Raw genomic sequence first — 25,498 nt, forward strand, 5'->3', positions numbered from 1 at the left:
TGTGTGTGTGTGTGTGTGTGTGTGTGTGTGTGTGTGTGTGTGTATGTATGTGTGTTTCAAAGCCAAATTTTATGCATAATTCTGGTGGGCTTCATTGGAATAAATGATTAAAAATTTTTATGGCATAATAAGTGTTTGAGATTAGCAAGAGTATTTTGGAAAAGTAGGTTTGTGACGGAGAATTTATCTTATATGATATTAAGATTTACTCAGAAGTACAATAATTAAACAGTTAAACACACACATATAGAAATATAAGAATTATACATAGGAATAGACAAATAGGTTGGGGGACAATAATAGAGAATCAAGAAATAGATTCAAGTTTAAATATGTATACTGAATATATATAAATCCACATATACTTTTATATATGTATTATGTATTTAAGTTATATTTAAATCAAGGTAATATATTTAAATTTCAAATAAGTGAGAGAAAGATGATTTATTTAAAAGATGGTATTTACATAATAGGAAATCTATTTGGAAAAACAAAGCTAAATCACATCTTATTGTATATAAATAAAAAATTACATTTGCTTAGGAGACAACTATTTTTAAAAATTAAAATCTGGCCAGGCGTGGTGGCTCACACCTGTAATCCCAGCACTTTGGGAGGCCGAGGCAGATTACGAGGTCAGGAGTTCAAGACCAGCCGGGCCAACATGGTGAAATCCCATCTCTACTAAAAAGTACAAAATTTAGCTGGGTGTGGTGGCATGCGCCTGTAATCCTAGCTACTTGGGGTGCTGAGACAGGAGAATTACTTGAACCTGGGAGGCGAAGGTTGCAGTGAGCCGAGATCACGCCACTCACTCCATCCTGGGCAACAGAGTGAGACTCCATTTCCAAAAAAAAAATTAAAATCTTACCAAAAAATTCAGGAAAATATGGTTTCGCTTTAGTTAGGGGAAACTTTCCTATACAAAACTGGAAACCCAGAAGCCTAAAAGCATAATATAAAAGGTAATATATTTGACTACATAAAAATGTAAAGATTTCCATGACAAAAAGAGTAAACTTGAAAAGCAAAAAGTAGACTGGAAAAATAGCCACACCTGACAAGTAAAAGATTAATATGCTCAATACCAAACGTATTAATAATAGGATGGCAGATAAGTCAATAGATGATAGCAAAATATTATAAACAGGCAATTCACAGAAGCTGAAAAATGGTCAATAAAACATATTACAATGTTCAAACTGGATAATTTACATGGAAATGCCAATTAGAATGAGATACTATCTCCCTCCACACCCACTTCTTGGATTAGCTAAAATTAAACACTAATCACATCTTGTTATCAGAGAAAAATTAAGGGAAATAAGTGCTTTCATTACTGCAAGTGGGTGTGAATGGCAATAATTTTTTAACAGTGTAACTGGGCATCATCTATTCAAATTGAAAATGCACCTACCCTGGACGCAGCAATACCATTTACTGACATCTTTTTTTTTTTGAGACAGATCTCGCCGTGTCGCCCACGAGTGCAATGGCACGATCTCGGCTCACTGCAACCTCTGCCTTCCCAGTTCTAGTGATTCTCCTGCTTTGGCCTCCTGAATAGCTGGGATTACAGGCACACGCCACCACGCCCAGCTAATTTTTGTATTTTTAGTAGAGACAGGGTTTCACCATGTTGGCCAGCCTGGTCTCAAACTCCTGACCTCAGGTGATCCCCCCAACCTTGGACCCCCAAAGTGTTGGGATTACAGGCATGAGCCACAGCACCCGGCAGCATTGCTTATAAAGACTAAAGCTTGAAAGAACTTGCATCTCTATGAATAAGGGAATGGTTACATAAGTAACAGTTTACCCATATCCTAGACATTCCTGCAGTTAGTAAACAGAATGATTCCAATTCATTCATTTACCAAGTTTTTACTGAGGGACCACCATGTAGAGCACTGATCTAGTCACTGGGGATAGGGTAGAAAGGAAATTAAAGTCACTCTCACATGGAAATTTTATTCTAATAGGGGATAAAGGGGGTAGATACATCACTAAACAAATATGAAGAAAAAATAAATCAAAGTGAGGGACTAGAATGTGACCAGGGAGGGTGGGGGTGGGAGGAGAGTTTCTCGTTTGAACAGGATGATTTGAGATGTGACACTAGAGGGTAGACTGGAGGGAGGATAGGAGGGAGCCAGACAAAGAGCGACTGCCCTGTATAACCTGCGGAAATTGCTGTACACCTGAGCAAGATGCACAGCAATGTGCACAGGATCATCCTTTATAGGGGAAAATGTAATCTGCACATTTTTGTTTTTTTTTTTTTGAGACGGAGTCTCGCTCTATCGCTAGGCTGGAGTGCAGTGGCACAATCTCCACTCACTGCAAGCTCTGCCTCCCGGGTTCAAGCACCCCTCCTGCCTCAGCCTCCCGAGTAGCTGGGACTACAGGCATGCGCCACCATGCCCAGCTAATTTTCGTACTTTTAGTAGAGATGGGGTTTCACCATGTTGGCCAGGATGGTCTCGATCTCTTGACCTCGTGATCTGCCCACCTCAGCCTCCCAAAGTGCTGGGATTACGGGCGTGAGCCACCGCGCCAGGCTACGTTTGTATATTTTTATAAGAAATATGTAGAAGAAACATTCTAGGCTGTTAGCAATGGTTACCTCAGAGGAACAGGAAATGGAATTGGGGAAGGAAGATGAGAAGAGGGTAGGGAACAGGGAGTATTACCCTTGGGTTGATATAGCTATGCTTGTTTTACCTATTAACAAAATAAAGGAAAAATTCCCAAACTTTGGGGGATGGGGGGTTGTTTTGTTGTTCATTACTCCTACAGGACTCTTTTCAGACCTCCGATACATACTGCACAGGTCCCCCTGTCCCTTCACTATTAACATTTCTGCCTCCTTTATCAGATACGTGAGGCTGAGATTATGGCTTATTTCAAATAGAAACTTGTAGAATGACAAAATGAATGATTAGGTAATTGGATCAATACATCTTTTTCATTTTACGGATCAACCACTAAACTCTGAGATGGGAGGATCAAATTATCAACTAGGAGAGAAACAGGGTTCAACCCAGATTTAAAAAATGAGCCACCAACAGAACTTTTATTATCAAACATTGATTTCCCAAATGGAACAATGACTATAGAACTATTTTCTTCTTTAATTAAAAAAGTAACTATTAGAAAAAAAAGGAACTGCAATTTTACTCCTTTTTGCCTCCTCAAGTATCTTCTTCTCTGTAAACCTAAACACTGAAATCCTAGTGTAGGAAAAGAAAAGAAAACAAATAATTTTGTTTTGTTTTGTTTTGTTTTGAAACAGAATCTCACTCTGTTGGCTAGGCTGGAGTGCAGGGGCATGATCTCAGCTCACTGCAACCTCCGCCTCCTGGGCTCAAGCAATTCTTCTGTCTCAGCCTCCCAAGTAGCTGTGATTACAGGCGTGTGCCACCACGCCCAGCTAATTTTTGTATTTTTAGTAGAGATGGGGTTTCACCATGTTGGCCAGGCTGGTCTCGAACTCCTGACCTCAGGCAATCCGGCTGCCTTGGCCTCCCAAAATGCTGGGATTACAGGTGTGAGCCACTGCACCCGGCCAGAATTTTTAAAAAGAAAGTTTTCCTACAGAAAAATAGGAAAGAATCAAACAGTTTGCTTAGGAGAATATTCTGGGGGAGTTTTCACCTATTCAATGTAACTGAAAGGAGATAAACGTTTTCCATAGAAAGCAAATATATTTCCCTCTCCATGATTTGGCTTAAGAGAGTGAATTCCTCAAGTTCATAACTCATGCTGCAACTGAGAAAGTTCTGATTATCTGTTTAAATCGCTATACAACATATCATCATCAGCTAAGCAGATATTTTTTCACTTCAGCCACAAAGATGTCATGTTCTCCTTCAAAATGGCTCAGGACTCCTTATGGTGCTAGCAATTTAAGAAGACAGATCATGAAATTACATCCTTCAAATGGGGCAGATTTCCTAATTCTGCTTATAACAAGCTGTGTATCCTGTGAGTATGAAATTTACTTGAGATCAGTCTAGACCCACCAGAGGAACTGAGGCATCTTTTGGGGAACTGGAAGTACTGTACACTTCTTAGCTATTTTTGTGTGTGAGAGAGTTCTGGGTATATGTGCACACATTTGTGAGGATTAAAAGTAGAAAGAAACAGCTATAACACCCCCGAAAACGATGACAGCACTGAATTGAGAAGAATTGCCACTTTGCGTGATAGAGGCAGGCTGACCACACTTAAGCTCTACTCTGTCACCTTTGATAAGGCATTAAAGCCACCCCAAATATAAAGTGAACATGTACATTTCAGATGCAGCAGACAAGTTGCAAGTGGAAATGCTCAGATTTCTAACTATATAAACAGAGAAGCTCCGAGGAGAAGCGATCAGTACCCTCCACATTCAAATTCTGACATATTTTATAATTTCCCAGCAGCTCAGGGACCCTCTGTGTTGTGTTCATTTTTTTTCAAAGCTTTTAGCAATTCTTTTGACACCATTAAAACTTGCATGGTTATTGACCTTCAATGTACATTTTAACAGTATTTTGAAGATAAGCCCCAACTCAAAGACACAACTAATGTGGGAATTTCAGGCACTGCTGTAGGCAAGGGGGACATTTAGTGTCTCCATGTACTATTCCTTAAATAGAATCACATGCACTGCCTTCTTCAACAGTCAGATTTCCAGGTGTCTACATGATGAAATGGAGAAACAGTATTCTATTTTTTTTTTTTTTTTTTTTTGGACAGGGTCTCACTCACTCTGTTGCTTAGGATAGAGTGCAGTGGTATAATCTCTGCTCACTACAATTTTCACCTCCCGGATTCAAGCAGTTCTCCTGTCTCAGCCTCCCAAGTAGCTGGGATTACAGCCATGCGCTACCATGCCCAGCTAATTTTTGTATTTTTAGTAGAGATGGGGTTTCACAATGTTGGCCAAGCTGGTATTGAACTCCTGAGCTCAAGTGATGTGCCCGCCTCAGCCTCCCAAAGTTCTGGGATTACAGGCATGACCCGTGAAAACCACGCCCAGCCTCTCTGGTTTCTTATAACCAGGTTTCATCCTGTTTGTGTGCTTAAGATATTTATAAGTTTTTTCTCTAAGAATAAAAGCCAAGAAAAATACAAAAATATACAAAAAGTATTACTTAAATATTCTTTTGTAAAGAAAGGCATAATCTCTTCTTCAAGGGCTGCAGTTGATGGCTAGGCTATGAAATTCTAGGATATTGCATAAGTCAAAAAAAAAATAAATGACATAGATAGTAGGTAAGTGTGAAAAGGCAAAAGGAGGAAGTAAAGCCATCAGTAATGTCACTACAGAATTCTTAGGATCTGAAAACTTATTACCTGACCATTAATAGGATTAGCATTAATAAATATTATATGTAAATAAAACCCTAGATAACATTTTAATGTGTTAACACATTCAACTCAAACCTGTTTTTTCCCTGTTTCTTGCTTTTAAAAAAGGAAAGTGAAATACAAAACAAAATATCCTTAGCTCAGTGCTGGAAAATAGAGAACGAAATCCCCAGACAGCTGGAGAGAGGCCCCAAGGGGGAAGGAGGCAAGGACCCTCCACACTCAGCTAACTCTCACACCCTGACTGTGGGCCGCATTGCTCGGCATCATGAGTACCTTCCCCTAAGGCTTTTGAGTCTAATAAAATTATTAGTTGTTTTAAAAATTAGGTGTTCTTTTCATAAAGAGCAAGGTAGCCATAGTTAAACTATATTAAATTAAATGATGTTTGATATTGAGACCCGGCACACAGCAGGTGCTAAACAAGCATCTACCAAAGAAATCAGCTGGGAATCAATGAGACTCAGACACTTTTCACATCAAACAACTGTACAGTTCTTTAAGTCTTGCTATAAAATATACGTACTAGTAGAGACTGGTTATTGTTTGTTCTTTTAGATTACTTTATTTTATTAGATACGAGGTTTCACTTTGTCACTTTGGCTGGAATGCAGTGGTATGATCATAGCTCATTCCAGCCTTGAACTTCTGGGCTCAAGCAATCCTCCCACTTCAGCCTCCTGAGTAGCTGACACTACAGATGTACATCACCACGCCCTGCTAATTTCTAAACTTTTTTTGTAGAGACTGGCCCTTGCTATATTGCCCAGGCTGGTCTTGAACTCCTGGCCTCAAGCAATCCTCTGCCTCAACCTCTCAAAGTATTTGGATTACAGGCGTGAGCCGCTGTGCCTGGCCTAGTTTTATTTTTATTAAAAAAAATGCATGTGAAAAAGTGGTTCTAATCTTCCTACTTTTTAATCCACAGTGAAATCTATTATGTCCATGTGTTTATAACTCAAATTACTGTTTACTTAATGAACATTTACACAAAATGAGTTTAACTTTCATAAGAATATAAACCTCTTTCTGGAAGTTTTGTATTACATATTTTAAAAGTATATCAGAGGCCGGGTACAGTGGCTCATGCCTGTAATCCCAGCATTTTGGAAGGCTGGGGTGGGTGGATCACCTGAGATCAGGAGTTCAAGACCAGTGTGGCCAACATGGTGAAACCCTGTCTCTACTAAAAATACAAAAATTAGCCAGGTGTGTCGGTAGGTGCCTGTAATCCCAGCTATCGGGAGGCTGAGGCAGGAGAATCACTAGAACCCGGGAGGTGGAGATTGCAGTGAGCCAAGATCATGCCACTGCACTGCAGCCTGGGTGACACAGCGAGACTCCATCTCAAAAATAAAGAAAGAAATAAAATAAAATAAGATAAAAGTATATCAGAGAAGTCAGATTTCCAGACAAATAGTAATAAAGCCTGATAATGTAAAAATGAACAGTGCCAATATTCTTTCTGGGATTGAACTTATATGTATTTAGATTTTAAAAACGGTCCTTACTAATTAGGTCAAAGAAGCAGCAATATATTACCAAGAATCCTTTGTTTTGTCCCATCCTATACATTACAGAAAAAAGCTCGACAAAATAATCTGCGGCACAAATGCAATGCCACTATCACATTCACATCTGCAGAGTTCCTAGCTCCTAATGCAATGTCCTCCAACCTGGCCAGTTCGTAAGAAACAATCGTACTACATGTTAGTACCACAGATTGCTGGGCTTCTGACTAGGCAGACCTGGAGTGAAACCTAAAAATCTGTTTTCACACTCTACCCAGGTGACTTTTTGACACATTTGAAAAAGTAATGTCTTGGTAGACTCTCATCCTGTACTTTGTCTTAAAAATTCAGAACCCAAATTGTTAAAAACATGACAACAGGACCCTATAAAAAATAAGAATGGTTTAATATGAGAAGAAAAGCTTATTGGCAAAAATAAATATTCATTACTTTTATATGGTTTTGTTTTTTAAAAGGATATTCTAAATAACTCCACAGCTACAGAATTGAGGGAGAAAAATGGCATAAGTTGCTGTAAAGTAAACAATAGAACATAAACATAAGAGCTTCTTACCTTTCAGGGTGATTCATAATGCCATAGACTATGAAAAGACCCTGAAATTCCTCTCTCCTCTCTCTTTTTAAAATCTGTTACTAAATTCTCACATACAAAAAGAGGATTAGAGGGAAAAGAGAAGTGAGTTCTGAAATAGGCAGTTTTGGCCAGGAGGAAGATTGAACTTTACACTTACTGAAGGTCTATTTTGTGTCAGGTCAATTATCATTTGGCCCACACAGCATTTTGGTAAAATAGGTGTCTGAAGTTCAGAGAGGTGAAGTGACTTGTCCAGATGGATTTAGCTCGTCAGTTTTAGAGCTTAGAACCTAGGTCTAGGAAAGGGGTGTTGGAAAGAGATGAAGTCACACAGACATGGACTTCAACCACTCTTTAACAGTGTCTTTGCAGACTACCTCACACGAGTGGTGGTTGATAAACGGATGAGTAATGAATAGATTTGCAAATGCCGTGGTCGAAAAGGTGACCTGACTTCTCATTGACCCATCTAAGCAGCAGGCCTGATTACAGAGCCACTAATGTTCTATAGCCTTCTTGCCTCATAGATAAATGATAAATTTCTTAAGCACCTTGTAACTCAGTTTATTTGTAAAAGGTGGGACAGCATTCTCTGTGACTGAGGCTTTGTTACAAACAACAAGAATCATAAAATGCTTTGCAAATATAAATGGTTATGGAGACCATAATACAACGAAGCATAAATAACATGACTGAAATCATGTTCTGACTAAATGGGTTACTCTTAACGCTTTCAAATGACCATCTTGATTAGTTTTTGCCTCACTCTTATGGGCACACAATTAAATGTCTCGATCACTTCGTTAAATGGGGACACAGCTCTGTTTCCTGTATCAATTTAGATTTCAAAGGCTACTTGTGACCTGGTCAGGGTGGAGTGTGAATAGTCCATGGAAGGAATACAAATGGCCTCAAGGTTTCCCAAAGGATGATTTGTGTATCAGGGTTAATTTCTAGTCAGGTGCAGGCTTTTCTCAGCTCCTCTAAGAATGGGGTATTTGATATTGAGAGGTGAAAAAGTAAAGGATTTTTAGAATGTTAGATTTCAAAAAGCAAGTTATGGGGTCTGTGGTAAGTCACTGTAGACAGGTGCCCAGGGTTGAAATATAGCTCTATAGTCAGTGCACCTGGACCTCAGGCAAGTTCCTGAACTTCTCTGAGCCATATGTTCCTCATCTATGTGATTAGGATGAGCAGTTTCCTCTGGGATGGATATGACAAAAAAAAATGACAGAAAACCACCCAGCACAATTCTGTTCACATAATAACTTAGAAGAGTTATATATTCTTTTCGAGGTCACACAGCTTTTGAGGGCAGCCAGAGAGTCAATCTGTAGCAGATCTAAGAAAATACACAAGTTATATTTTAAAAATAATTCTCTACAAAATATAAATATGAATTGCTATCATTTCCATTTCATTCCATTAAAGAAAATCACCAATTACTGAAAATTAAATATCAAATAAGTTGGGAGAAATGAAGAAAATAAAAAATAAATCTATAATATTCAACTCTAGTTATAGAATATGTAGAACAACATAGCATTGTAATATATTTACTGAACTAGTTTAGAAAACTACAGGCATTTATCCCTTTGGAATTAAAGTTCAGCTCCATCAAAATACACAAATTTCATAATAAGTTCACATAAGATGTTATAGGGAAAAATCCTCAAATGATATAACTTGATCCTTCTTCCTTGAAGTTAACATCATAGAGATCTTTTCAATGTTTTAAAAAACATTTATTTTAAAATAATTATAAATTCATGGGGCATGGCAAAGATAGTACGAAAGGCTCCATGCACCTTTTATAATTTTAGTGTTTAACTCATATTCTTATCCAATTCTGTCATCTGGTTTATATATATTTGGGTCAGCATTATTTCACATCTTTATTCAGGGTAGAGATCCTCTTTGCTGTTTAGATTTGCACGTGTAATAAGTGCTGATGATGCAGAATGTCTGGAAACAATGATATACCTGCTTGTTTTTCCCTCCAGTTTTAGCAGTCTATTAATATAATTTCTGACAATCATATATTTTTAAAGCTATTTTTAGAAGATTAATTTTTAATCATTATGTGCTTATGAGATATTACTTTAAAAATCAGGGACAAATGTGACCATTTTTTGAACTCTACCTTCAGTGTTGACATTTAAGATTACTTTGTACTCTGTGTGTAGAATGACCATAACCTGCCCCAGAGCCTTCCCCAGGCCCCAGACTTCCTCTCTCCATTTGGTGTAGCCTCCCTTCTTCCAGAAAGTTTTTCTCTCTCTTGGGTATGGGTCACTGGATTGAGAAAAAGTGTCACCAGCAGGGGGGGCATATGCCTGACACAAGTCATTCATTTCTCCGTTCATGCAACAGACTATGATGAACTGACAACTCTGTATCAAGAGTTGTTATATGCAGTGGGCATAATGGCTGTCAACAAGTCAGAGTTGGTCTCTGCCCTCTTGGACTTTTGCAGTGCACCAAGGAAGATATCAAAGTTCAAAGTTGCAGTTATGGTACTGTGGGTGTATTTACCAGTTTGATCTGAGTCTGGGGATTAGGGAGGGCTTCCTGGAGGAAGAGAAGTAGGGGACGTCTGGCCACACTGGAATAATCCTTCTAAGGTTTTCTTCCATGACTGCAGATTAAGAGACTTACATTTGTTTACTTTTCCATTTGTGCAAATAAAAACATGGTTTCAGGCAATTAGTCCCTATATGTCACTTTTTTCACCCCATTGTTTAAGCCATTACTGTTACATCTAAGGGAAAAATCAATTAATATGATTCTATCTTCAAAATCCAGGATCATAAATAGTGTCTTAAACACAATGAATCAATAACCTCGCATGAGCAGCAAATACAGAACACACTAAACTCCAAAAGCTTAGACCTGCAGTTTCTGGCACACTGGTCTCTCTGTTCACATCAACACTAAAGGTAGTGGAGGCTGATGTCCAACCTCGTGGACCTGCTTCACTGCCCTCAGAGGGCTAAAAGCTCTACTGTGCCTGATATGGGGGGTGGGGGGCAGGATGGCTTATGTCATTATTTTGATCCACTAATGTTTCATAAAGACATGTAATTTCTGGCAAATCCATATATGCAAATGCATTAAAAACCTGTCCTTATTAATGCTTATTTGCTTTGTCCTAATTTTCATTTCTAAACTAGAATTTTTATTTCTACTAGTTTGGGGGACTGTTCTGCTACAGTTTCCTTTCCTTTCCAACACGATGGACATCATTCAATTGATTTAAAATGCCAGTTTATGGCAATAGGCTGAAAGTCAGTATTTTGCTATGGTTTTTTTTTTTTTTTTTTTTTTGCACCCCAACCACAGTCCTGATTTGGTTAAATTGTATTTTTATTCTCTCCTTGGGAATTTTTCAAAACTGTTACTAGATTTCTCCAGCAGATGGTGCTGTGCACAACATAAAGCTACACATTTCACATCAGTGCTCAACTGCTTCTACAATGACTTAACACTATTGGTCTCATGGCAAAAACAATTAAATTATATTGAAATGAACCCAATTGGCAACTTCTGAGAAGTCTGTTTCTAAGATACTGTTTATGTAGTCAGACAGTAAATTTAAAAAATTTTCTGTTACATAGCAAGTACCAATTTCCCTTTCCTGTTTACAATAAAACAATAGTGTAACTATTCAATCTAAAATGTATTATCTTAAAAACTTCATTTGCTCTCATTTGAAAGTTCAGCAATGACAAGAAAATATGTTCCTAGCATTGTAAAATTGTTTGGGGGAACTTCAGCAACATTTTGTTCCAAGACAGCGATTGGGATTTTTAAATAATGGCATAATTCATATATACTCAAAGCCTTCCGTGTAATACTTAGGTAGCAACAATTTTTGTGTTAAAACAAAATAGATATGTAAAACAAAGCATACACACTGTCCAGAGAGGCACTGTCCAGTAAAAATATAATGTAAACTGGGTATGTAATTTTAAATTTCCTATAGCCACACTAAAAAATAAAAATAAACAGGTGAAATTAATTTTTTATTTGTTTTTTAGAGATGGAGTCTATGTTGCCCAGGCTGAGCTCCTGAAATCTTGACCTCAAGCAATCCCCCCACCTCAGCCTCCTGAGTAGCTGGGATTATAGGTACATTTTATTTAGATTAATATATCCAAAATATTACCATTTCAATGTGTAACCAATGTAAAAATTAATAATGAGATATGTATTTGGAGGAGGGTACTCATCCTCGCGTATCTGGTGTATTTTACATTTGCAGCATATTTCCATTTGTACTAATTTTATTTCAAGTGCTCTGTTGTTCCCTGGAGCTAGTGGCTACTGTATGGGACAGGGCAGGACTAGAACATTTCTGGAGCTTTTGGTTTGTAAATTAAGGACCTCTTCTACTAGAAAATTCCAGATCCAAGATAACAGCAAACTACAAAACACTCTTTGGGGTCTGACTTTGGAGATGTAACTTTAAACATGTTTAATTAAACTTTGTGAGTTTAATTAAAGGAAGGTTTTCATTAAACTTAAAAAGTTAATTCAGTTCGCTGCGTTATAATTTGGTGGGGGGAATGAATGTTTGTTTTCTGTTTGCAGCATCTTTTTCTTGGCTGAGAAAACAAAAATTGACAAAGACTAGAACAAAATCTATGTCTGCTGCCAAAGTTAAAGTTGTTCTTGTTGCATGATACCTTAGTGGTGATGGCAAGTTCTTCACACCCAGACCAACTGTCCTTTCTGTGATTCTAGCCTCTTCAATAGACCTTTGCTAATACACCTACTTCGTTAGCAAAACCACTGATATTTCAGTCCCTGGGCTTGCTGGTGATAAGGAGTAACTTTTAATTCCCCCTTATTTTGCAGCTACAGTTTTTCCTGAATACATACCATATTTTTTGTGTCATACAAAGAAACTAAGAGGTGTCTTCATTAGTAATGGACAACTTAAATACCAGCTGACATATATGTGGCTCTTTTGTTCTACACAAAGCACTTTCACAGGCATCATTCATTTGAGAGCATACAGAGGCAAAGGAGCAGTGCAGAGAGACAACTAGGTGTGGAGTCAGAAGTCCAGGTTTGGAAGACTAAATCTATTTACTGTTTCCGGGTGGTGGCGATGTTGAGTGTGTGTCATCATAATCAACGATGACCAGGGCTTTTACTAGCTGATGTAGTGTCTTTGTACGATTTGGAAAAGGGTGCCCACTTGGGGTGTATACAACCTTGTAGGTACACAGGTTGGCAACTAGATAGCAGCTTTGAGCAAATTAGAAGAAAGTACCCCTATGTCTTACAGGCCAGTGTCAGGGCAGATGGCTTGACAAGTGAAAAGGGCAAGATTTCAGACCCCATTTGCTCTCCTGCACAACTTACACGGCAGTTGTGACTATGACTAAACACTGATTGAGTGATTCTCATATATCAGGCATCAAGCTAGGAGCTTTACATATATTAGCTCATCTATTCCTTATTAGTTCACTATTAGGCATCCTCACTTTACACATTTAAACCAAGGCTCAGAGATTGAGTGCTTCATTACGGTCACACAACGAGTAAGCGGTGGAGCCAAGATGAGAAGTCTAGTCTGTGTAACTTCCATAAATCATGATCCCAACCACCACATTACATGGGGCAAATTATCCTGCTCCTTAAACTTCTCTTTCCCAGGAGTTATTCTACTAGTTAAATTTGATTGCGTACATGGAAAGGCTTCACACATTTTAACACACTATAGGAACATAAACTGATATTTACAATTGTGTTAATAAATCAGAATATTTGCTAAGATGATTTTTAAATACTTGAGTTTTAAGATTTTCAGAGAAGAACCTACAACAGGACTGGTTATAAAAGTGGCATGTAGATTGGTTATAAAGTAGCACATAGAATTCATCTATGGAGAAGGGGGTTGAAAAAGTAAACATTTATAACAAGACAGACATTATCAAGGGTCACTTGCCACAGATGACAGATAAAGCTTAATTGTTATGAAATTAATACGTTATATTAAATAATGGTAAGACAATTTATTTTTTTTTTTCTGAGACAAAGTCTTGCTGTCGTCAGGCTGGAGTGCAGTGGCGCGATCTTGGCTCACTGCAACCTGCGCCTCCCGGGTTCAAGTGATTCTCTTGCCTCAGCCTCCCGAGTAGCTGGGACTACAAGCACATGCCACCACGCCCAGCTAATTTTTGTATTTTTAGTAGAGACGGGGGTTTCACCATGTTGGCCAGGATGGTCTCCATCTCTTGACTTCGTGATCCACTTGCCTCGGCCTCCCAAAGTGCTGGGATTACAGGCGTGAACCACACTGCACCCGGCCTATTTGTCTTTTTTAAGGAAACCTTGAGTGACCTGGTCACTGGTTTAATTCAGGAACTATTTTTATCTTGTTAATTAACAGTTATTCAGTAGCAAAATGGGAGGGGAACAGAGAGGATAAAAGAACATAAAAAACATGAAACCTCCTAAACTGTGCTTATGCTTCTCTCTGAACTAGAACTTTGAACAGTTGTCCCTTCAAGGAAGAAGTTGGCTTTTTAAAAAGACAGATTTGGGATTTTTTTTTTGGCTGGTCTGCTTTTGAAGAGAGGAAAGTTCTGGTAAGAATGAAGTGTTTTTGGGGATATGAAAAGAGTGGCGAGAAGGGTTCGAGTTTGGCATACAATTTGATTAACTGAGCTTCAATTATAAAATGTGTGTAGTGGTTGCTTCATTACTATTAAGTTTAATACATGAAGAAAATCTGTGCCTTGAAAATTCCATCCTCATTTTTGCTCTAGTGGACTCCAGTACTTGATTCTTTAAGCCTGGAAGTATATGCATTTCCTTTGAATTGTCTAAAATGGAACCAAAGTTTATCTGGTCTTTAAAAATGTGGCAAGGAAATGCTATCCAGTTTTTCCAAAATAACACATAGAATCCAAGACAGAAGATTACATCATTGTTTCTTTACACCTTGGAAAACTATGCAGCCATAAAAAAGAATGAGATCCTGTCTTTTGCAGGAACATGGATGGAGCTGGAGGCCATTATCCTTAGCAAACTAATGCAGGAACAGAAAACCAAATACTGCATATTCTCACTTATAAGTGGGAGCTAAATGAGAACTTGTGGACACAAAGACAACAGACACTGGGGCCTACTTGAAGGTGGAGGGTAGGAGGAGTGAGAGGATCACAAAAAGTAACTAGTAGGTACTAGGCTTTGAACCTGGGTGAAAGAATAATTTGTATAATAAACACCTGCAATACAAGTTTACCTATATAACAAACCTACACGTGTAGGTTTGAGTTTGGCACTCAATCTCTCTGAGCCTTAGTTTAGGCTGAGGGAGGAGAATTGCTTGAACCCAGGAGGCGGACGTTGCAGTGAGCTGAGATTGTGCCACGGCACTCCAGCCTGGGTGACAGAGTGAGACTCCATCTCAAAAAAAAAAAAAAAAAAAAAAAAAAAAAAAAAAAGAAACAAAGAAAGAAAGAAAAGAAAAGAAAAGAAAAGAAGTAGACCTACATTTGGACCCCAGCCTTACTACTCAGTGGAATAACCTTAGATATGTTACTTGACATCTCTGAACTTCAGTTTCCTTATAAGTGGAATTAAAACCACCTGATTAGCACCCTTATCAGTAAAGTGGAATTAAAACCACCTGATTTGCAGTGCTATCCTTTCTTTTTAAATTTTTCACATATGAAGGCATTTATCAGTGCTTCATGAATGCTAGACACTCAACAATTACTATTCTCCCTCTACCTTGCTGTAAAGACATCTTTAAATTCATGGTTGGTGGCGATTGTGTCTTATACCAAACCTTTGGCATGACAATTTTTTCTACAGAACAAATATAATGGTGATAATAACTCATAATTATCAAGGGCTTACTATGTAACAAGGACTGTATTTCACATGTGCCTCACATAATTATTTTATTTATTCTCAACAATAACCATAGGAAGTTAGGAAGGTAATCTCCATTTTGCAGAAGAAAGACAGGCTCACAGAGTTCAATAAATTTGCCCAAGGTCATTCCTCAAGTACCCTACGGTTCACCTCGCTCCTTTGTTCACACCTTGAAACTCACTGGAGACTATGCTGAGTGCATTCCAAAAGTCAGTGAATTGAAAAAGAGTGGATCTTATGGAATATGAATTATATCTCGAATAAAGCTGTTGTTTAAATAATTCCTGGATTTGGAGTGATTAGGAAGTGAGTATAAAGGAAGAATTAGCTCTGATATTTTTCTCTCAGCATCAGACGTTATGGTGAGCCTGTTCTCTAATTTTTTTTTTTTTACATTTTTAAAGGAAAACTCTGCGTCAAACACCTATTCTCAAAACCAGACTATTCCCAATGTCTACTAAGAAAAATTGCTCTGGTTCTTAGGGTCAGACAGCCTGAAGAAGTTGTGTATGAAAAAGTGACATGCTCAGATATATACCAGTCTTACTAGGTCAAAGAATGAGACATTGAAACAACACAGACCCCAATAATTACCCTGAAACATTTTTTAAAGACTAATTATGGCCCAAGAGAAATCAAAAATTTATGAAGGATACTGAAATTATCTGGGAGAAACTTGAAAAAGCTGAAAGAGTCCAGAAATAATTCCAAAAATAAAATGTGAACATATTTTCTTCAAAATGCTCAGCATGCCTTGCATACTTTCCATTATTATTTCACCCTCTTCTTGCTCATTTTTGACTTAGAAAACTTTCTTTGGTATTGGAAAGATTGATGTATGTGATTAAAGATGGAATCATCAAAATACTTATACTTCTATATTACGGAGAATAAAGTTTGTTAGATTAAATGGAACTTCAGCATTATGATATAGAAAACAGCAACAAAAGCTGAAGAACTTGGGTCCTAGCTTAAAATACAAATGTGTGAAATTCAGGTCCTGTTTCATGTAATCTAGTCATTCCTTTAATTTCTGCCTGCAGACATTTACAGAACCAAGGAGCCATCATTATTACCTTCATCCATGCCATTAAGTAACTCGGTTAAATCTTCATTTTTGCTGTCAAACTGATGCTCCTTCCAAGTTTCACCATTTTCACTTCGAAGAACAATGAGTTCTCTCTCTTTTCCTCTCATGGACCCAAAGTGAGGGATTTCCACTATGACAGGGCTGGAAAAAAAATCCACATTATTTTGGTATCAAATTAAATATATTTATAGTATCATACTTAAAAAATGTTTCGTTAACAGTATTCATTTGAAAATCAGAGGTGCCACTAAGGTTGGGAATGATTTCAAAGCTGCAGAATCATTTGCTAATTAAAGAATATTTTCGAAGCCTGAAAACATGCCATCATTCATTCATTCACAAACAGTTCTTGGAGGACTACCATATGTTAGGCATAGGATTTAATGGGGGAAATTTTTCAGTACATATAAATAGGAATTTTGAATCAGAATGGAAACTTATTAAAGTAGACCATAAGAAAGTTGGTCCATTTTTAAAAGACACAATAGGTATATTATACAAATGCTAATGATTTAAAAGGACACAGTCATTTCTTTAAAAAAAAATTCTATAAAGTTCCTAGTTTGAAAGATGATTGCTATATTTTCTCCTTAGCAAGAAAACAATCAATATGTTAACGACTCCTCCAACAGGCAGATTCCATGCTTTTCATGGCCTGTACAGTTAAGACAATTCCTGTGTTTTTCAATTTGTGAAATGGTAGTAGGTAGCTTCCATTCCTGGCTCTAATATAACCTGCATAGGAATACTTACACTTTCTGTAAAAGTACTTGTTGGTTTGAAATTGTCACATAATGACACAGTAATTTTTGACAGTGTCCTTTTGCAAAGGAATGTAAAAGAATGGCTGCAAATTGAACATAGCCAATCAAGCCACGGGAAATAATTTTGTTAAATTTTAAAATAGGATAAATACTAAAAGAGATGAATGGAAGTAAGCAGACCACAATCACACACAGTTTATGTAGTTGGATTGTGCAGCTTTATTTTATGACATTTAAGTAGACAGTATCATTATTCTCCTACAGAGGTTGTATGGAACCCCATTTCTTAACCTATGTGTTTAGGTATATGTGATAACAGAAGATACAGGCTTAAGTAAGTAAGAGCAGAAAAAGGGATAGTAGTTGTAATGATCAAATAATATAAATAAAAACATGAATATCGATTTATTAGAAAAGCATTTGCTTCAAACGGGGATGATAAATATGGTCATTTTGCTTTTAGCAAAATCATAATTCATTCAAATTAAAGATTAAAAAATAATTTTTATAATGCCTTTATTCTTCAATAGGTAGAAACAAAATCAAGTGTTCTTAGCAGTATTAATAATTTCAAGATTAAGATATTTACCAGAGTTTTTAACTACACCTTATAATTAAACATTAAATTGTATTTATTTTTGAGAACAAGATACAATCTTTGCAGGTTAATATGTCAGATACTGTCTCTGTAAATATTTAAGGAATGTGGCTTTATGTATGATGTTCAATGATATTGGAGAGAAGGTATGAACAAGGGTCTTTGATCAAGGTGAAAGCCAAGCATAGCTTTTCATTAACAGGTTTCTTCATGCAGACTGCCAAGGCAAATACAACAATCAAACAGACAAGTGAACAAACAACAAATACCAATGCATTTCAGCTCAAACAAAACCAAACGAAACAATTTTATAACTTTAAAAGAATACTCTATCTGCTGCCTATTTAATTTTATTTAAATATCTTATTTTCCCAACACTTTTCAAAATCAGTTTACTTATTGATGACTTCTTCTCAAAGCCCATAAAAAATTACACAGTACTCATGTACTTTTAAAAGATCTAATTACACACACACACACATGCGCACGCGCACACACACACACAGGTGTACATACATGTAATTGATAGCAAATGTTGACTCAAAGCCTGCAAATACCTTCTCTTACACTGGGTTAAAGACTTTTGCTGTCTTAAAAAGTATCATATTCAGAAGAAACATTTCAAATAAAAGAAAGGTTTACAAAAGCACGAAGTTATGAAAGCAGAATGCTTGCAGTGAATTCCACATGCCTGAAAAGCACAAGATAGGTAGCGGTGCTACATTAAGTCAAGCCACTATGATTTTTTTTTCTTTCAGTGACACACATCAACTGAAAGCATTAAAAAAAACTTAAAAAATAAAAATAAACTTAAGACAAGAATCAGACCATGGGTGTGACAGAAAAAAATTGAAAATGGAAAAAAAAAAATTGTAGACATTCTGTATCTTGTCTATAAAGGTCCTACCCAATAAATTTTGTTCCTTGAGGCCCAAGCTGCAGGATTCGGCTAACCAAGCTCTCACCCTCATTTACAGGGGGAGGATTGGTAGGAAGATGCAGTTTACTGAATAACATCCATGCAGCAGAAAGAGAAACGAGAAGGGGAAATTGTGAACAAACTGTCAGTCACGACAGAGCCTGCCTGATTTGTACCCAAGTGCCACCTCAGAAAATGAATTAAATTCATTTTTCCTTTTTGTAAAATACCATATCACAATGAACTGTTTCCCAAAAAATTTTCTTTAAAAAGACATGTCCCCAAAGTAGCCATATATTCAATGCGGTAAAATAATTCCAGCATCTGTATTTTTTCCCTAGAATGGTGCCTTGACTTCTACAGGGACCACTGGGGTTCCGTGCACTTGCTGAGCAGAGAACATGCTTCTCGGTTAGTAAAAGCCTTGACTAGCAAACTGAGTTAAGAAAGTATCAGCCTATTAGCCTTTCACAGAATCACACAGCTTTGTGACCTTTGACACTTTACAAAAAGTATACTCAATCAGGTACAACTAAGCAGTTTTAAGAGTTATCTCCTTGAGTTAACAAGGGTAAAGAAAATCAAAGATGCATTGTGAGGGCCAAGGTTAAAATTGACAAAACAACTTACCCTAAAAATTGTGCCCCTGCAGGACCCATTTCTACCAGCCTACTGGCTAATCCCTCTCCTTCCACCATGGGGGGTGGGTTGGCCAGTTTATGTCTCTTTACCAAACGGCAGGTGATTCGAGTGGGGGCCGTACACTTGCGTGGAGGAATGATGATTCTCATCCCGTGATGACGGCTTCCTCTCATGGAGCCCCCTCTCGCGTCCACCATAAAGCTAACCAGAAACCTGAGGGGAGAAGATCAGAGGCCAATTCAAGGACGGAAATAAACTGTGCTCACAGCAAGTTTGGAAATTAAATGTTTAAGTTTATTTAAAGCGACAGACAATGTAGCTATCATTTCCTCTAAAGATAAATCAGAAGTCAATACAGTGGAGTCACATCAAACATGCATTTAACTTGTGCACTTTGCAAAAACTGAAACACAACTTGTTTTTGGTGGAACATGGCCCCCATAGAAAAGCCAACTACTTTACCAGGCTCAAATGGAAGGAATAAGGAAGGTTTCAAAACTGGAGTAAAATCGGTCTAGTAACAGGATTCTCATGCATTTAAAACAAAAAAACTGTGGTCTTTATATTCAAAGGTCATTTTAACTATAAGTGGTTTTTGCCATATGCTGCCATATGGTCTCTTACAAGTAAGATGAAACTCCACAGTATGTCTTGATATTTACGACTCATAAAATAAATGTATTTTTAATCATACCAACACTAATTTTTACTATGATGAAGCAGAATATAAGAATAAAAGCAGGAGATGACTAGATTTGCTACGGTGATTTTGATGGAAAGAGATTAAATGTTTTCAGTATAAATATGGGCTTAAAAGCTGTCTGAAATAACCTACATTTGAATATTTTATACAATGATTAAAAAAGTGGAACTTAGACTTTTAGAAAATGGCTCTAAATAACATAATTCTGTCATTGGCCTTTTATTAAAGCTAATAAGGAAAAAACTGTCTGCATGTATTAATAGGTATAGAACTATAAAGAAATTAACTGTTATTTTTGGGTAGAAGCATATTGGAATCACTGTCTTCTATCACATATGCATGGTCCCACTATCATCATCACAGAGTTATAACACAGTTATCGTTATCACAGAGTTATAAGTAAACATAAATCAATGAGTTCAATGTGTGGAAGAGTTAAGGTCAGACAGGGGAACACAAATATATCCCTGTATTCTAGTTTCCACGTATGAAAATACACAGATTACTACTAGCACAGTACAAAATGGTGATAATTAGAAAATTGTCGGAATTCTTAAAGTGTTTTTAGAAAAAAAAAGTCCCATCCATCAAAAATCTTTACTACTTTTTCCCCTAAAAACAATGCTAACATCCTGCAAACAGATTTTAAGACCTTGCATGGACTTCCTAGCTGGGGACCGTCTTCTGAAGAATGCTACCTCTTGACCTTGAAAGAGTGACCTTTTCAAGCAAACTGGCCTGTGATCCCCACAGGCAGAGGCAATGGGCTGGCGATCATTTTTCAGCCTATCAGATTCCTAGAACCAACTCTGCTCATCAGTAAGGTGGACTCGTCTTCATACCCTTTTGCTCATTTTGGATTTAACCATTTTACTCTGAATGAATTTATGTCTCTTACAACATTCTATCGATTTTGGGAGATTGGGACCACTACGATAATCAAGGTAAAAGGGGAAAACACTGACTCTCTCAAAAACAAAAAGAAAACAAAAATCACTCCTCCCTAGTCAAAGAAAAAGATACTTGTTCACTTGTACAAGTGTCGGGATGAATTGTTACCAATGCTAAAAGACATGAGGCTCACCTGAAATTGCTCTGGGCTGCCTACATTTTCTTAGACATACGTATATTTAACAACTACTTTTATTCAATAATGAAGGCAATATGGCAATATTATAAGACAAAAATCAAATCATTCCCTGCACTTCGTAGTTGTAACTACAAAAATCAATTTTTCATTAGGAATAATAGTAACAGAATGGATTTAAAACGATTCACGACAAACTCTGGGCTTGAAGATTCAGTTGTGTCAGTACACACATACACACATACACACACACTGGAATGTTTCCACTGAGAGGGGAATGTTTGCCCTGGCAACCGCTGAGTCTCAACAATATAGAGAGTAATTCTGATTGGGTCTGTCTTGTTCACTGATTGACCTGCAGAGCCAAGCACAATTCTAGCACAAAATAGGGACGTGATAAATGCTTACTGAATGAACCAATGAATAAAACTATTTTGCTTAGAAACTGTGTAGGTGAGACTCGGTTACTAATACTAATGGATTGATGGGTGGATAGATAGGTAGATAGCTGATTGGAGCTGAGTGGACTGAAGGTAGCGTACAGTTTATCAGATTAAAATAAAAATATCTCAGCTGTAAAGAATATCAGAACCAATGGAAAAAACACTAGTTAACATGATATTAACAACAAACTGGAAGAGTCTCTTTCTCTGTGTTCTGTATAGCACACAGTACATGGCTGGTGCTCACCAGCAACCATTTATTGTTCTGAGGTTCTCAACTTCATAGAGTCAACAGACTGAGGAAAAGTGGGACTATTCATTAAACAGGACATGGGTCCTATTATTTAATAACATTATAAAATATAGTGATTTGTTTTACAAACTCATGTCTTACATATTGTGTGAAAAAGTCATGCAACATAACTTATAGAACAAATTAAAAAGGTGATATATAATAATATTTGTATCATTAATATTTAAACTATAGCACAAATTCTACAAATGATCCTAAAACTAATACATGAATGTTTCTAGTTTTAGGAACAGCAGGATGACAAATGCTGATATACTACAGACATTGACACGATCTAACTATGGCAAAAATTCACATAAATTAAAAATACAAAAAGGATGGTTCACATAAAGGACACAGTTATCACCTTGAATCATACTGAGGAAGTGGAGAAGAATAGCTGCAAAATAATTTAGAAAGCAAATGGGAAGAATTAATGTAATATAATTAGAAGCAAGCAACAGAAAATGTCAATGACAAGCAAAGGAAAAATAAAAACCATCAGAAAATGAAACCAGGGCATCTGGCATTTGTGGGACAACCTAGAAAAATATCTGCCTTATGTAGCTGCATAAACTGCAAGGACCTGGCATCAGTGAAATATTTCTAAGTGCACACCAGGTCTATATTTTCCTTTTCAAATAAGCCCACACCTGCTGCCATTACTTTTGCTTTCCTGCACATGTCTATTGTCTCTCTTGTCTTCAATAACATTCAAGGTGAAGGGGAGATAACTTGCATACTCAAATACTTCATTGTTTTTAATGTATGGGAAAGTTCATTTCTGATTTTGTTATCATGTTTCTTCAACTTCTCAGTTTACTAAATTAAGCCCTAGTACCTTGTCTTTGATTTGTAGAGAATACAAAGTGATGGTTTCAGGTCTTTGAAATATGGCGGCAATTCATCAAGCGTGATTCAAAAAACTCTTCAACATCTTTGCTCCCTGAATGTATCCCAGATGTTATATAGTTTCCTTCTTGAATCTGATTTTTTCTTTTGCTTTTCCAATATTAGACCCATATGCATTGAATATAAATTATATAAATATTTTTAGCAGTTTAAAATTATAATAATTCAAGGTTTCTCTAATTGAGTTAAAGAAATGCAATGTTACTAACTCAAAAGCCACCATAAAGTTTATAATTTATGAAACACTTTCATGTCAATTATTCCCATTTGAACGATATTGTTCTGTTTCTCAGAATTGTAGTATTACAAAGCCAAAATCTATAACGGTATTTTAACCTGAAGCATTCCTCTGAGTCTGATTTTTTATTTGTAAAATGAGGATAATGAGTAATACGTATCTCACAGTATCATTATAAGGTTCAAGTAAATATAAATGAGACAATACATGTAAAAGATTTAGCACAATGCCAGGTACACGACAAGAAGTAAGTAAACGTTAGCTATTACAATTTATTTTAATTAGGAGCAGCAGCAAATACTTCATATAATATATGAAGCACTTCACAAAAGTTAATTGTTGTTAATTTATTTAATTCCAAAATAATCTGCCCTTGTCCTTGATCACAATTAACTTATGGCCTAAATGCCAATTTCAAAGGCAAAAACACCTTGAGATATTCATCATTTTAATGAATTATTTTGATTCTACTTATATGGATGTCAATTATCCCAAATTTGAATTACCCAAAGATGAAGAATCCAGTATCTAAAGATACACTAATTTATTAATTCAGTAATTGAAGCAGGTCCCCTTTTAGCCTCCTGCCTCGAATTCCATTGACCAGGGAGGCAGGATGAGGAGGCTACTCGGTGTGGTTTTTAACCACAGCACTTCCAGTGTAGACACTGGTATGTTTTTTTTTTAAGTAAATATCTTTATTCTTTTTATTCATTTTTTAAAATTACAATTTAATACAACTTAATTGTAATTTTACTTCAGAAATGCAGAGGCACCAACTCGAAAGTTCAAATTTATATATTCTTTTAAAAGGAAAATCACACAAATCATTTATCAAATCAAAGACCTGTATCATATGAGAAAAAAATGACAATACCAGAGCTTACTGCTCATTTAAAAACTAAATATTTGCTAGGTGTGGCGGCTCATGCCTGTAATCCCAGCAGTTTGGGAGGCAAAGGCGGGCAGATTGCTTAAGCTCAGGAGTTTGAGAACAGCCTAGGCAACATGGCGAGACTTCATCTCTATGAAAAAATACAAAAATTATCCGAGCATGGTGGTGCACACCTGTGGTCCCAGGTGCTCAAGAAACTGAGGTGGGAGAATGGCTTGGGCCCAGGAGGTAGAGGTTTCAGTAAGCTAAGACTGCACCACTGCACTCCAGCCTGGCTGACAGAGCCAGACCCAGTCAAAAACAAAAAACAAAAACAACTACTAAATATTTGAGAGAAATTCTTCTATTATTAAGGGAAGCACAAAAGTCAGTTAAGGTAAATTAACAGGCATACTTACATATTTAATTTTCTATTGGAAAGAAAAATCAGATACCTAGAAAAACTTCATTTGAATAGAAAAGTAAAACGGAGAAAAATCATTATGTTTCAAATTTTAAAAAACTTAAAAAGGAAATTTTCTGAAAAGGAAAATTAAAGACCTAGAAGATTAGAACAGCCAGGAAAGTTTGTTGTACTAGTAATTTCATTATTTTTCTAACAAAATTAAATTTTTCTCAAAAAAAAAACTCATACAGAATTACTTAGAAAAAAACAATGATTTACAAATACATCTCACATATACTAATGAATATACATTTCATACATGAATGTATTCATATATATGAAGCTTGTTGATGTGAATTTATAACTCTAAGTAATAAATGCACTGTTCATGTAGTAGGATAATGAAAAGTGACATTTAGGTTACTTACCCAGAATGAATGGGGCTTGAAACAAGATTGACATTGTCTAAGGTGTCTGCAGCCCAGCTGTAATGTCTAAGAGAATCTGAATCAAATTCCCTTGTGAATGTTAGATGCTGAAAAATAAAATGGTAAATTAAATTACATCAACAAACCATACAAGACTGATTTCTCTACACATATAAAATATATTTGTATTCCTCTAATTCCAGATAGACTTACATTCAACATAAATAATTTTTAAATTCTCCTCTATAGAAATACATTGAAATCTGAGTGTAATGTTAGAAAACAAAGTCTATTGATGTATTGTTTTATTTCAATCTTTTAAGAAAGCTCCCTGGGTAACTGACATGGCAAAGAAATATCACATAACTAACTCCAACTATGATTTTAAGCACATGTCACATTTTCAACATGTCTTCAAATTAATCCTATAACAACTGTAATTTTTTTTCCCAATTCTCAAAATAAAAAATGAAAAATTCAATCTTGATGACTTCTGGTTCCAAGTGGGGCGGAGTAGCTAGTAGCAGCCTAGTGCTTCTTCCAAGTAAGCCAGATAAAATACAGCAATTGTATCTGAATGCAGCAGAGGGCGGTTGAAGCATCGAGAACTAAAAGAACTACCAAACTCTGGGAGGGTGAACATCTTCAGGAGTTGAGTTGACTTTCTGTTGCCCATTTTTAACTTACAGGCTTTTGTCAGTTACCAGTGCAAACAGATTTGTACTTTTAACCTACAGGG

The 25,498-nt window shown here is 36.5% G+C and overlaps 1 protein-coding gene across 5 annotated transcripts in view; it reads right to left on the reverse strand.

Moving 5' to 3' along the window:
• Window positions 1-25,498, reverse strand: part of ANK3 (ankyrin 3) — a 707,231-nt gene that overhangs the window by 63,168 nt on the left and 618,565 nt on the right. For all 5 annotated transcript variants that reach the window (NM_001204403.2, NM_001204404.2, NM_001320874.2 and 2 more), the window contains 3 exons: window positions 24,760-24,866; window positions 19,365-19,589; window positions 16,440-16,594 (listed from right to left, as the gene is read on the reverse strand). In NM_001204403.2, coding sequence (NP_001191332.1) covers window positions 16,440-16,594; window positions 19,365-19,589; window positions 24,760-24,866 — 487 coding nt within the window. The remainder of the gene's footprint in view (window positions 1-16,439; window positions 16,595-19,364; window positions 19,590-24,759; window positions 24,867-25,498) is intronic.

The sequence above is a fragment of the Homo sapiens genome, chromosome 10 (assembly GCF_000001405.40).
Source record: "Homo sapiens chromosome 10, GRCh38.p14 Primary Assembly".
In the NCBI taxonomy this organism is placed as follows: domain Eukaryota; kingdom Metazoa; phylum Chordata; class Mammalia; order Primates; family Hominidae; genus Homo; species Homo sapiens.